The following is a 13,620-nucleotide window of genomic DNA, read 5'->3' as shown; positions in this document are numbered from 1 at the left end:
ACGTATCACTATACTTTCAAATTATTTTAATGTCCCATATTTGAATTTTATTCACCCTAAAAATGGTACTTGATTTTATTCACCCTAAAACATACTTAACCTCCACCTCTCAAATGCTTGAGGTGCCTACCACTCATTGAGAAAATCAACACATTCCCAACACTCACATTTGAATGTCACTATTTTACAGGAGCACTGAGGTGCACAGAGAAATATATCCAAGCCTATTTTGGAATACAAAAGTTTTAGAAGAAAACATCAATGTCTTTATGTAGAAGAACGAAAAAACGAACTGTATTATAATCACACAGTGTAACTACCATGATGACATGATTAAATCTACTTGTGACAAAACAGATAAATCCCAGCTGAGGCAGAGAATTGCTTGAACCCGGCAAGCGGAGGTTGCAATGAGCCGAGATCTCACCACTGCACTCCAGCTTGGGCGACAGAGCAAAAATCCATCCCCACCCCCACGCCAAAAAAAAAAAAAAAAAGATAAATCTTGAAAACTTAAATTGAGTGACAGACTATACTCAACAACACATACAGTGTACCACTGTGTAAGCTTCACTCAGGAAGTGGCATATATAAAACAATAAATATGACATGACACACACACACACACACACACACACACACACACACACACACACACACACTCCCGGGAGAATATTTACGTAGTAAAGCACATCACCATCAGGAAGGACAATTCTCAGTTTTCAAGATCATGGTTAACTTAAGAATAGAGAGAAAAGTGGGGATTTGGGGGAGCCCAAAGAAAGGCTTCAATGAAATAGTTACACGTTGTTTCTTGGAGGGAGGAGAGAAGAGACAAATACTATGGTTCACTAAACCTGGGCAGACTGATACTATGCTTTTAGGTTTTAAATATTTCATTTTAAAAAAGCGTGTTAGCCCCTGTAATCCCAGTACTTTGGGAGGCCAAGGCGGGTGGATCACCTGAGGTCAGGAGCTCGAGACCAGCCTGGCCAACATGGTGAAACCCTGTGTCTACTAAAAAACACAAAAATTAGCCAGGTGTGTTGGCACACACCTGCTATCCCAGCTATTCGGGAGGCTGAGGCAGAAGAATCACCTCAACCTGGGAGGTGGAGGTTGCAGTGAGCCAAGATCGCGCCACTGCACTCCAGCCTGGGCAACAGAGTGAGACTCTGTCTCAAAAAAAAAAAAAAAAAAGAGAGAAATGAAGGCCTATGTCCACACAAAAGCCTCTACACAATGTTCATAGTACCTCTATTTGTAATGGCCCCAAACTGGAAGAACCCAAATGGCTATCAACAGACAAAGAAATGAATAAATTTTGACTCAGGCATACAATAGAATACAAATCAACAATCAAATGGAATCTACTACTGATACGTGCAACGCTGTGGATGAATTTCAAAACAATCATTTGAAATGAAAGAAGCCACACTGCTCCCCGGCCCATGAAAATAGTCCACATTTTATTATTTCATTCATAAGACTTTATAGAAAATGCAAACTAACCTAAAACAGAAAACAGATCCGTGTTGCCTGAATACTGGGCAGGGCAATGAATAACAAGGGGACACAGGAAACTTTTGGGGTTATAGATATTTCATTATCTTGGATGCAATGAAGATGGTGTATTAGATATGTAGATGGCAAAGCTAACCAGATTTTTTACTTTAAGTGTTTAATATACTATAATTATGCAGTGAGAAAAAATTAAGCTGACATTATCTGCATTTGCCTAATAGGTTTGTTTTATTTTGCAACACTAGAACCTGGGATTGAATTCTAAATTGTGCCACAACTTTTGCTCATCCTTTTAAGAACACAAATGGCTATTTTACATATCCCCTCTGGATTGTCTGAGTTGATCTTTTAGCCCCATTTTTAAATGTTTTATCCCCGGGACTGAATTACAATATATATGTCAATCAAGAACTGATCAATAAAATATTATTTAAGAAATTAAAGCAATTGATGAGCAAATTTTAATTTTAACCACGAATAATTTTTAGAAAGAAAAATTGCATTAATTCAAATTACCTTGAATGTTATATTGATAATAATCAGGATCTTCTGATTCTTCCTTTACTGTCACAGCTGCCATTTCCAGGGAAATGCCTAGAAAAGCAAATGCAATGATATGATTGCATGTGAGAACTTTCAGCTAGATTGTGTAGGGAAATCCTCTCTGCCCTCCCTATAAATACAGCAATGCATATTTATTTTAAGTAAAGACTTTACGTCTTTGAAAAGACAAAAGTTTGCTAGGTAGCAGAAGGTAAAAAATCACTATAATCCCAGCCAATGCAAAGTTTTAACCATTTATTAATATTCTGCAATTATGTGCTGCTCTTTTCTCCAGCAAATTCTTATCTTTAGAATCAAAGAAAATTTTACCACACTCCCTTTTCACTTAATATTAAAAATACTTTTATAAACCATTGAAACACACTTATAAACATCAGTTTTAATAACTCAGTATTCCAAAGGAGAGATAGCATAATGGTCAACAATTTCAATAATGAGATACATTGGTTTTTTTCTGCCTAATACATCCCTTTTATTACAGGGATTTGTGTAAGGGTACAAAGCACACCTTTCTGCATAAAGCTTTGCCCACAATTAGGACAGATGATTTGAAGCAGACCTTTGTGGCCAGATACAAAAGAGTACATGTTGTGTAATTCCACTCATATGAAGGTCAAAATAGGCAAAAGCAATCGATGTTATTAAAAAGTTGACTTTGGGAAGGGCCAAAATTGTGCCACTGCACTCCAGCCTGGGTGACACGGCGAGACTCCCTCTCAAAAAAAAAGAAAAAGAAATGAACAATGCATGGGTGCACATACACATTTCAGACTGAGATATTCAACCACAGTCATACCAACCCTAACACAAACGAAATCGTGAGCTCTGACTTGGGCAACTTTGTAAAGAATATTTTCAACTCTAGAGAAAGAGCTCAAAGAGAGTTAAATTGATATACAAAGGGTATGCATCCCTGAAGCAACAAGCAAAAAAAGGAGTTACTCCATTGCCTTCAATCACCAAGGGGAAAGTGTTTTGCTGCTACACAGTGGTGGCAGAGAACACTGCATCTGAGACCTTTGCAACTCTCTGGGCTAACTTAGCACTTTCATGTCCATCAGTAAAAGTTAATAGAAAATTACAGCTAACAGCCAGGTGCGGTGGCTCGTGCCTGTAATCCCAGCACTTTGGGAGGTCCAGGCGGGCGAATCACCTGAGGTCAGGAGTTCGAGACCAGCCTGGCCAACATGGTGAAACCTCGTCTCTACTAAAAATACAAAAATTAGCCGGGAGTGGTGGCACGCACCTGTAGTCCCAGCTACCCGAGAGGCTGAGGCACAAAGATCACCTGAACCCAAGAGGTGGAGGTTGCAGTGAGCGGAGATGGTACCACTACACTCCAGCCTGGGCGACACAGCAAGACTCCGTCTCAAAAAAAAAAAATAAAGAAAGAAAGAAAATCACAGCATTACAGCTAACAAAAAAGGCAGATCCACTGGGGATTCAGACCCTTCAGGAATAAAAATTTGGGTCACTCCAATTGGCTAAAGAACCTTACACATACTGGCTGGGTGCAGAGGCTAATGCCTATAATCCCAGCACTTTGGGAGGCTGAGGCGGATGATTACCTGAGGTCAGGAGTTCAAGACCAGCCTGGTCAACATGGTTAAACCCCGTCTCTACTAAAATAAATAAATGAATAATACAAAAATTGGCTGGGTGGCACACGTCTGTAATCCCAGCTGCTCGGGAGGCTGAGGTGGGAGAATCGCTTGAATCTGAGACACGGAGGTTGTGGTGAGCCGAGATCGCACGACTGCACTCCAGTCTGGACGACAGAGTGAGACCTTGTCTCAAAAAATATAAATAAATAAAAATAAAAAGGTAAATCCAAAAAAAAGTCTGGTAAGCTGCAGAAACGTAGACTGTGGCGACTATGCCTATTGTCTTCCTTGTCTGTTACAAATGTGTTTGTGTGAAGATTATATGCTTGCATATACTAACTATTCTCTTCTGTGTGGTAGTATTTCACAATAGTTTGGCTGGAAGTTTCCTTTCCATTTGTCCATTAGACTAGAGATTACTCAAATAGGTTTGCACTGCATTTAAAGAGCAGGTAACATAGCTCGCGACTGGATTTTCAGTCAGTCTCCCAGCGATGGGTGTGACTGCTGGAACACTGTGTCCCCCCATTTTGAGGAGAGAGTAAAAATGGATTTCTTTGTAGGAAGTAAAGTTGCATCTCTTTAGATGGAACAGTTGTCTCGTTGTTGTACAGAAGGTCAAATGTGCAGGGAAGGGTGTGTATATATGCTGAGCAGCCAAAGAGAACAGCCTGGGCCACCCACAAAACTGATGTCTCTCAGTTGCAAACCCATCCTCTGGGTTTCTGCTGAAGTTTGAGCTCTGCATAGCAGCTGGCTCCATGTGAGTCTCTGCCACAAAGATACACTACAGAGAGAAAGGCTAGAGGAGGAGAAGAGATCTGGGCCTTCCTTTTGGCTTCTTGTCTGCATTCTCATCCCAAAAAGGTCACTCCTTGGTACCCTCGTTCAGCCTGGCCAAAGCAGGCCCTCCCATCACAACAGCTGTGCCCGGCTGGCAATGTCTCCAACACTACCAGAAGCAGCCTCACCATGCCCCTCAGCCACCAGCACCAGCCAAACACTACCCCACCTCAGAAGTCAGATGGAAAGCTGATGGGGTGGCAGCCACTGCCTAGAATTGTTCCTTAAAAAAAACCTTAGTATTCTCCTTAAGGTTACAAAGTTAACAATTTTATAACCAGTTAACAATCTGTTTTTGTTTGTTTTGTTTTGAGATGGAGTTTCACTCTTGTTGCCCAGGCTGGAGTGCAATGGCACGATCTTGACTCAATGTAACCTCTACCTCCTGAGTTCAAACGATTCTCCTCCCTCAGCCTCTTGAGTAGCTGGGATTACAGGCGCCCACCACCATGCCCTGCTAATTTTTTTTGTATTTTTAGTAGAGACTGGGTTTCACCATGTTGGCCAGGCCGGTCTCCAACTCCTGACCTCAGGTGATCCACTCGCCTCAGCCTCCCAAAGTGCTGGGATTACAGGTGTGAGCCACTGCACCCGGCCAACAATCTTTACATTAAATTTTCTCTGTTCCAATAACTGATATGGTTTCTGTCTCCTGGCTGCACCCTGGCTATAAATGTACATCTTATTTGCAGGATAAATTAAGAATACAAAGATGCAAAGTGTAAAAGAGAAAAAAAAAAACCTATAATGATGCTGATGTGTACATAAAGACAGTTGAAAGAATTCAATTAAACACATGGGGTTTCTGAATTCAGCATGTTTCTTTTTAGAAGCAAACTAAATATTCAGGAGATGAATATATGAATTAAGGGGAAACATTTGCAAAATGATGATTTTTTTTGGCACAATCTACTGAAAACCACACAAAAATTTGAGATTTCCTATGGAGTGAAAATAAAGAAAAAAGAAAAACCTTCTGTAAAACCAGCAAACAGTGTAAAAGACTCAAATACCTTTTCCAAAAAAGGATAATTCAACACTTTCTTGCAGCTCTCCCAAAATACACTTACATACATAAAAGCTCTCATTCACATGCACGCACACACACGTTAACGCGGCCCTACCCTCCTCCCCAACAACTCATTCGAGATGCCCTTAGATGGGGTGAAGCGGGGCAGGTGGCTGCCCAGGAAGCATGGCAGAATGAGAAGGCTGACAAAGGGCCGGGGAAGGGGCTGGGGAAGCTGCCGAGGGCCTGGTCAGACAGAGGGAGATGAGGGGGCAGGCAGGGCGGTGACAGCCCACTAAGGAGTGTCCCGTGTGAATAAGGGGCACAGGGCCGAGCAGCGGGAGGCTTGACAGTGGCACTAGGACACAGGATAACACTGGGAAATGATGAAATAAATACATATGCTGAGAACATCTGGGTGCCACGGTTCTAGGACAGAACAGAATTATAAACGGGGGCCGGGCACGGTGGCTTATGCCTGTAATCCTAGGACTTTGGAAGGCTGAGGCAGGAGGATCACTTGAGGTCAGGAGTTCAAGACCAGCCAGGCCAACCTGGCGAAACCCCGTCGCTACTAAAAATACAAAAATTAGTCGTGCGTGATGGCGTATGCCTGTAATCCCAGCTACTCGGGAGGCTGAGGTGGGAGAATCGCTTGAACCCAGAGGCAGAGGTTGCAGTGAGCCGAGGTCGTGCCACTGCACTTCAGTCTGGGTGACAAAGCAAGACTCCATCTCAAAAAATAAATAAATAAATAAGGAATTAAATAGCAATTTTATTTGAGAATTGAAAATGGTCTCCTTGGAGAGTGGAAAACAGGAGTGCAGAGAAGGAAGGTGGAGACGAAGGGGGCATTCTATTGATTTTTGTAAAAAGCACTATAGAACAGCTGACCTCTTACATTATATGTCTGTACAACGGGAAAAAAAAATACATTTTATCTACAAACATATGTAACTGGCAAAGAACTCTGCCTACCACTTACTGAGCAAATTACCTTTCTGGGTCTTAATGTGATAACATTAACAAATAGTGTCACAGTTGGAATACATTAGTAGTGACTGCCTCTTTCTTATCAAAACAAAACAATAATTGAGTCAAACTATAAACTTCTACACTAAGGAAAAGTCTTCCTTAATTTCACCATTGATTCTAAAAGTGCTAGTACATACCAGAATCTTCTGTGGGTTCAGTTTTCACTTTGATGGGGCCACAACTGCAAGGAGAAGAAAGCCCTGATCAAGCCACGTGCTGGTGACAGCCATTCCCACAGCATTCAAAGTCTCTGGGTCTCAAAGTGTTAAGATCCCTCCCTTGACCAAGGTGGGTGCAAACCTGACTCAGCTTAAAACTGACATATTTATTTATTGCATAAATAAGAGTTATTGGGCCGGGCACAGTGGCTCACGCCTGTAATCCCAACACATTGGGAGGCCGAGGCGGGCAGATCACGAGGTCAGGAGTTCAAGACCAGCCTGGCCAATATGGTGAAACCTCATCTCTACTAAAAATACAAAAATTAGCCAGGCGTGGTGGCGCTCACCTGAATCACTTGAATCCGGGAGGTGGAGGTTGCAGTGAGCTGAGATCATGCCACTGAACTCCAGCCTGAGCCACAGAGGGAGACTCTGTCTCCACAAAAAAAAAGAGTTATCAACTGAACTTAGTACTTCAATTTCTATCTATCTTTTGGGGAAAAAAGTACAATAAAATACTACAGAGTAGCATATTAAGACTTATCGGGCCAGGCGTGGTGGCTCATGCCTGTAATCCCAGTACTTTGGGAGGCCGAGGCAGGTGGATCACCCGAGGTCAGGAGTTCGAGACCAGCCTGGCCAACACGGTGAAACCCCGTCTCTACTAAAAATACAAAAAAATTAGCTGGGCATGGTGGCACATGCTTGTAGTCCCTGCTATTTGGGAGGCTGAGGCAGGAGAATCGCTTGAACCCAGCAGGGGGTCAGAGGTTGCAGTGAGCCGAGATCGCGCCACTTCACTCTAGCATGGGCAAAAAGAGCAAAACTCCATCTCAAAAATAAAAAAAAAAAAAAAGAGTTACCAACTGAACTTAGTACTTTAATTTCTATCTATCTTTTGGGGAAAACAGTATAATAAAATACTACAGAATAGCATATTAACTTCCAAATACCACTCTAAGGCCAATTCACAGTGTGACCAATGCCTCTGGCTTTTCCCAGGAACTCTACTATTCAGAAATACCAAGTCAAAGAGGGCATGTTCACAAGATCCCCAAATGATATCCTTGCCTATTAAACTTTAAGATGTGTGACATGAGGCCTTTTTAATATTCTGATATCTCAATTATCTAACAACTAAAACTTTTTGAGGTGTGGGAGTTAAACAGCAGTAATGAAATTAGGTTTTACCTTCCACCTGGAGATAGTATTGACCTGTCAGCATCTGTTACCATCACACGACCACCTACATACAAAAAAAAAAAATTGGAGTTAGTTTTTCAACATTTCAAATATAATATGTCTAAAGGCTTTAAATATAGAATTAGTGGGGTAGAACTAGGCTTTGCAGCTCTGGATCACACCAGAATAAACACTGCTTTTCATCCCTTCACCCAACCACAACCTCCTTGAATGAAAAAGCTCTTATTTTCATCAGTGAGAGAAATGCAGAAACATACCATTTGTCTAGTAAGATGGAATATGGAGAATATGACTCTGCTGACATATAAATGATGAAACAGATTTTTTTTTTTTTTTTTTTTTTTTTTTTTTAGAAACAGGGTTTTACTCTGTTGCCCAGGTTGGTGTGCAGTGGCATGATCATAGCTCACTGCAGCCTCCAACTCTCGAGGATCAAGCAATCCTCCTACCTCAGCCTCCTGAGTAGCTGGGACTACAGAAGCATGCATTACCACTCCCAGCTAATTGTTTTCTATTTTTTGTAGAAATTGGATCTTGCTATGTTGCCCAGGCTTATCTCGAACTCCTGGCCTCAAGGGAGACTCCCACTCTGGTCTCCCAAAATGCTGAGATTAGGCTGGGCGTGGAGGCTCACACCTGTAATCCCAGCACTTTGGGAGGCTGAGATGGGTAGATTGCTTGAGGTCAGGGGTTTGAGACCAGCCTGGCCAACATGGTGAACCCCCGTCTCTGCTAAAAAAATATAAAAATTAGCCAGGTGTGGTGGCGGGCGCCTGTAATCCCAGTTACTCAGAAGGCTGAGGCAGGAGATTTGCTTGAGCCTGGGAGGCAGATGTTGTAGTGAGCCAAGATCATGCCACTGCACTCCAGCCTGGGCGACAGAGCAAGACTCCATCTCAAAATAAATAAAAAAATAAATAAATAAATAAATAAATAAAAATAATAATTAAGTTTAAAAAAAACTTTTAAGTCTGAAATTTAACATAAACATGATAAATATTTCTCCATCTTAAAAGAGATTTACACAAAAATCCTACCACTAACATCATACTTCATGGTCAAAGACAGAATGCTTTCCTACTAATATCACAAGGTGATGTCTGCTATCACCAATGCTGTGTGACATTTATATTCTAGTCAGAGCAACAAGAAGAAGAAATAAGAGGCACTTAGATTGCAAAGAAAGGGGTAAATTGTCTTGATTCTCACACAACATGATCTCCTACATAGAAAGCCCAGAAATAAACAAAGAGTCAAAAGACTTTCAACAAAGATAACAAGGATATCTTGAGGGAAAGGACGGTCTTTTCTGCAAATTGTCCTGGAATCATTGGATATCCACGTGCAAAAAGATGAATTTATACCTTTACCTTGTATAATATACAAAAATGACCTCAAAATGAACCATAGATCTAAATGTGAGAGTTGAAGCTATAAGACTTGTGGAAGAAAACACAGAAGTCATATCTTCATGCCTTTGGGTTTACGCAATGGTTTCTTGAATATGAAGTCAAAAGCTTAAGTGAGGGCCAGGCGCAGTGGCTCACGCCTATAATCCCAGCACTCTGGGAGGCTGAGGCAGGTGGATCACCTGAGGTCTGGAGTTTGAGACCAGCCTGACCAATATGGTGAAACCCCGTATCCACTAAAAATACTAAAGTTATCCGGGCATGGTGGCGGGCACCTGTAGTCCCAGCTACTCGGGAGGCTGAGACAGGAGAATTGCTTGAACCCGGGAGGCAGAGGTTGCAGTGAGCTGAGATCATGCCACCGCACTCCAGCCTGGGTGACACAGCGAGACTCTGTCTCAAAAAAAAAAGCACAAGTTAACAAAAGAATAAACTTATTTTTATCAAAATTTAAAACGTTTGTGCCTCAAAGGATACTACCAAGTAAGGGAAGAAGACAAGTTATACAATAAGGATAATGTAGATTTATTAGAATTGGAGAAAATATTCCCAAATCCTGTACTCCAGCCTGGATAACAGAGTGACACCATTGCAAAAAGAAAAAAAAAATTTTTTTTTAACAAATCATCAATTAGAGACTTATATCAAGACTATATAAAAAACAAGACTCAATAATAAAAAGACAAACAAACCCAATTTTTAAATGGGAAAAGGACCTAAATAGATATTTCTCCAAAAAATATGTATGGATGACCAATAAGCACAATTGAAGATAACACAAGCCTGTAATCCCAGCACTTTGGGAGGCTGACACAGGCGGATCACTTGAGCTCAGGAGTTCCAGACCAGCCTGGCCAACACGGCAAGAGCTTGTCTCTACCAAAAAAAGGTTCAGAAATGAGCTGGGTATGGTGGCACACGCCTGTAGTCCTAGCTACTGAGAAGCTGAGGCAGCAGGATTGCTTGAGCCTGGGAGGTTGAGGCTGCACTAAGCTGAGATGGCGCCACTACACTCCAGCCTGGGCGACAGGGTGAGACCCTGTCTCAAAAAAAAAAAAAAGAAAGAAAGAAAGAAAAGTAAAAACACATCAACAATCACTAGAGAAATTTTTAAAAATCAAAAAAAATTAGATACCACTTCACATCTATTACAATGGCTAAAATCAAGAAGTAAGTTGGCAGCAATGTGGGGGTAACCCTCCTATCCTGCTGTGAGAATATAACATGGTATAGCCACCTTGGAAAACAGCTTGTCAGTTTCTTCAAAGTTCAGTGTAGCAGGGCGCGATGGCTCACGCCTGTAATCTCAGCACTTTGAGAGGCCTCCCTTGATCATGAGGTCAAGAGATTGAGACCATCCTGGCCAACATGGTGAAACCTCGTCTCTACTAAAAATACAAAAATTAGCCGGGTGTGGTGGCGCGTGCCTGTAATCCCAGCTACTCAGGAGGCTGAGGCAGGTGAATCTCTTGAATCCACGAGGCGGAGGTTGCAGTGAGCCAAGATCATGCCACTGCACTCCAACTTGGTGACAGAACGAGACTCCGTCTCAATTAAAAAAAAAAAAAAAGTTCAGTGTAAATTTACCCTATTCCTAGTAATTGCACTCCTACGTAAATATCCAAGAGATATCAAGGAATATGTCCAGACAAAACCTTGCTCAAGTATGTTCACTGTAACATTATTCCCAATACCCAAAGGTGGAAACAACCAAAATATCTATAAACTGATGACTGGATCAACAGACAGTATGTTCATGTCACAGAATAGTTAGTGCTCAGCAATAAAAAGAAGCTACGGCTACACCTACCAAGCTCGATGAGCCTCGAGTGAGTGATGCTCAGTGAAAAAAGCTCATTTCAATAGGATACATACTACATATTCCATTTCTACAACATTCATGAAATAACAGAGACAGGGACGATGAAAGCATCCCAAAATTAAGACTGTGATGATGGGTAAAAACCCCTTAAAAACATTTTAAGATTGTAAATCTACTATTAGTGAATTATATACTTAAGACAGGTGAATTTGGCTGGGCACAGTGGCTCACGCCTGTAATCCCAGCACTTTGGGAGGCCGGGGCGGGTGGATCATTTGAGGTCAGGAGTTCGAGATCATCCTAACATGGTGAAACCCCATCTCTACTAAAAATACAAAAAATTAGCCGGGCGTGGCAGCATGTGCCTGTAATCCCAGCTACTCGGGAGGCTGAGGCAGAATCACTTGAACCTGGGAAGCAGAGGCTGCAGTGAGCCAAGATCGCGCCACTGCACTCCAGCCTTGGCGACAGAGCAAGACTCCGTCTCAAAAAATAATAATAAAAAAAAAAGGCAGGTGAATTTTATGGTGTATCAATTATACCTCAATAAAGCTGCTAAAAAATTAATCTTTTCACCACAATGAGAATAAGACAAAGGTTAACAGAAAACACAATGTGTATGTTTATGTATATATAATTTTTTCCTTTCATAGTTACATGTTTAAAAGTATTCCAATGATACTGGTTATTTACTTCCGAAAGTCTCAAATAAACCTGGCTCTAAAGGGTATTACTCTTTATCCTGTTTTCCCTTCAAATGAAATGGCTAGACTTCCCTAAAGGAAGCTGAAATCCGCATCATTCTTCAAACGCCCTTCCTGGAAATGCTCTCTTCCTCATGAACTCTTTCCTGAACTATAAAGGAATCCAACCTCCAATAACATCCACAGCACTTTCTCAGAGCCATTCTTGCCGTAGGGATGCAATGTTCTTGCCATGTTCATTTTACAGAATTTTCTCTCTTCCGTGAGACTCACAGCTCTCAAAAGTGGTAATGCTGATACACAGCTGCGTATCCCCTCCCCACCCAATGCTGTGCCCAACAACGTCTTGCCGAGTCGATGACATTAGGTCAATTAAATCCTACTCATAATTCTGGTAAGTGAGGGCAGATGTATGATCTTCTATAGAAAACAAGCAGCGAAGCTGAAAACAAAAAAACAAGTCTCCACTTTTTTAGCTCAATGAACCTTTTGTGGATTATATAAACATCTAAACAGCCCATCCGAAAATGTCTGACATCATATTCTCAAAGACAATAAAACAGAAACCATTAAAGTGTATGAAAATCTAGCAAAACGGAGGCCAGCCAGCTATCAAGGAAGCAAAGCACTTACTTACCTACATGCTTCTTTGGCTCTAAAAAAGGTCTGCATTAAAACAAAACAAAACAAAACTTCGTATGAATACGCAAAATTATTGTAAAGCATACATTTAAATGACTTCTGTGTTAAATATGAATTTTAAAAATACATTAACGTAAGCTAAATATTCAAATTTATACGAATCAACTGTTGATGGGTACAAAGGGAGAAAGCACTTCACCTCTTAATGATGAATGAAATCCCTGCTTTGTTCTCCAAAATCCATTTCAGGGTTGCAAGATCATAGTTCTCGGGGTGTTTAAAGGCAACACCTTCCGGAAGCCCCTGCACTACCACAGCCGACTGGTCTCGCAGCATCTTCTCATATGGTACAGGTACCACTGTGGATTTGCCTAAAGCTTTCCCTGGGGCAGATGAAAAGCGGATGAACATCATTCAATGGTAAGATTACAAAATGAAATCATCGCTAGCTTATTGTGGCTTAATAAGGGCATCCATGATTTTTTATAATATATGATTTCAAAATTAATTAATACTACAGCATTCTATCTCCCCATGTCAGCAGAAGGTCTAAACCTGAAACTGATCCGAAGGGCCAAAATGAAAAGTAGATAAAATATTTTACTTTAAAAAACACATAGAGAGAGCAATGGTTGGTTTCTTGCACTATTGTCTTTCTTGAAGATGGTCCCATCCTGGCATATTCTCAGGTACAATTTGGCCTCAGAATACAGAAGCCCAGCACATCCAACTATTACCATAAAATACCAGGAATGTTTTGGCTAATATTCTCATTGAAAACTTATCAGGTAAATACAAACTTCCCATTTACAAATGAGTATATACTGTCAACCTATTGGGCAGCGAGCCTCACACATACTGAAAATCCCATTCCAGAGAATTGATTTTCACCTATGACCCTGCAGTAAAACCTCAATCTCCTCCTTTGACTGTTTTCTTGTAAGAGCTTTGTTTTATGATGTGACAAGAGTAAGAAAAGGTGGCTTTGCATGGAATTAGAGAGATGAGCATGCTTATTAGAAAGAAACAGCTAGGCCAGGCATGGTGGCTCACGCCTGTAATCCCAGCACTTTGGGAGGCCAAGGTGGGTGGATCACCTG

At 41.3% G+C, this 13,620-nt stretch overlaps 1 protein-coding gene and 1 long non-coding RNA gene across 7 annotated transcripts in view; one reads left to right on the top strand and one right to left on the bottom strand.

The window, feature by feature from the left end:
- GTF2I (general transcription factor IIi) overlaps window positions 1-13,620 on the bottom strand; it is a 102,975-nt gene that overhangs the window by 47,543 nt on the left and 41,812 nt on the right. For all 6 annotated transcript variants that reach the window (NM_032999.4, NM_033001.4, NM_001163636.3 and 3 more), the window contains exons 5-9: window positions 12,720-12,903; window positions 12,516-12,544; window positions 7,932-7,986; window positions 6,717-6,760; window positions 2,041-2,118 (exon numbers count right to left, since the gene is read on the bottom strand). In NM_032999.4, the coding sequence (NP_127492.1) occupies window positions 2,041-2,118; window positions 6,717-6,760; window positions 7,932-7,986; window positions 12,516-12,544; window positions 12,720-12,903 (390 nt within the window). The remainder of the gene's footprint in view (window positions 1-2,040; window positions 2,119-6,716; window positions 6,761-7,931; window positions 7,987-12,515; window positions 12,545-12,719; window positions 12,904-13,620) is intronic.
- Window positions 1-13,620, top strand: part of GTF2I-AS1 (GTF2I antisense RNA 1) — a 39,982-nt gene that overhangs the window by 15,769 nt on the left and 10,593 nt on the right. Inside the window, exon 3 of the long non-coding RNA NR_110044.1 lies at window positions 12,770-12,940. This is a non-coding gene — a long non-coding RNA (GTF2I antisense RNA 1). The remainder of the gene's footprint in view (window positions 1-12,769; window positions 12,941-13,620) is intronic.

This window comes from Homo sapiens, chromosome 7 (genome assembly GCF_000001405.40).
Source record: "Homo sapiens chromosome 7, GRCh38.p14 Primary Assembly".
Classification (NCBI taxonomy): Eukaryota; Metazoa; Chordata; class Mammalia; order Primates; family Hominidae; genus Homo; species Homo sapiens.
Note: the sequence above shows the minus strand (reverse complement) of the source record. Positions and strands in the feature narration are given on the sequence as shown.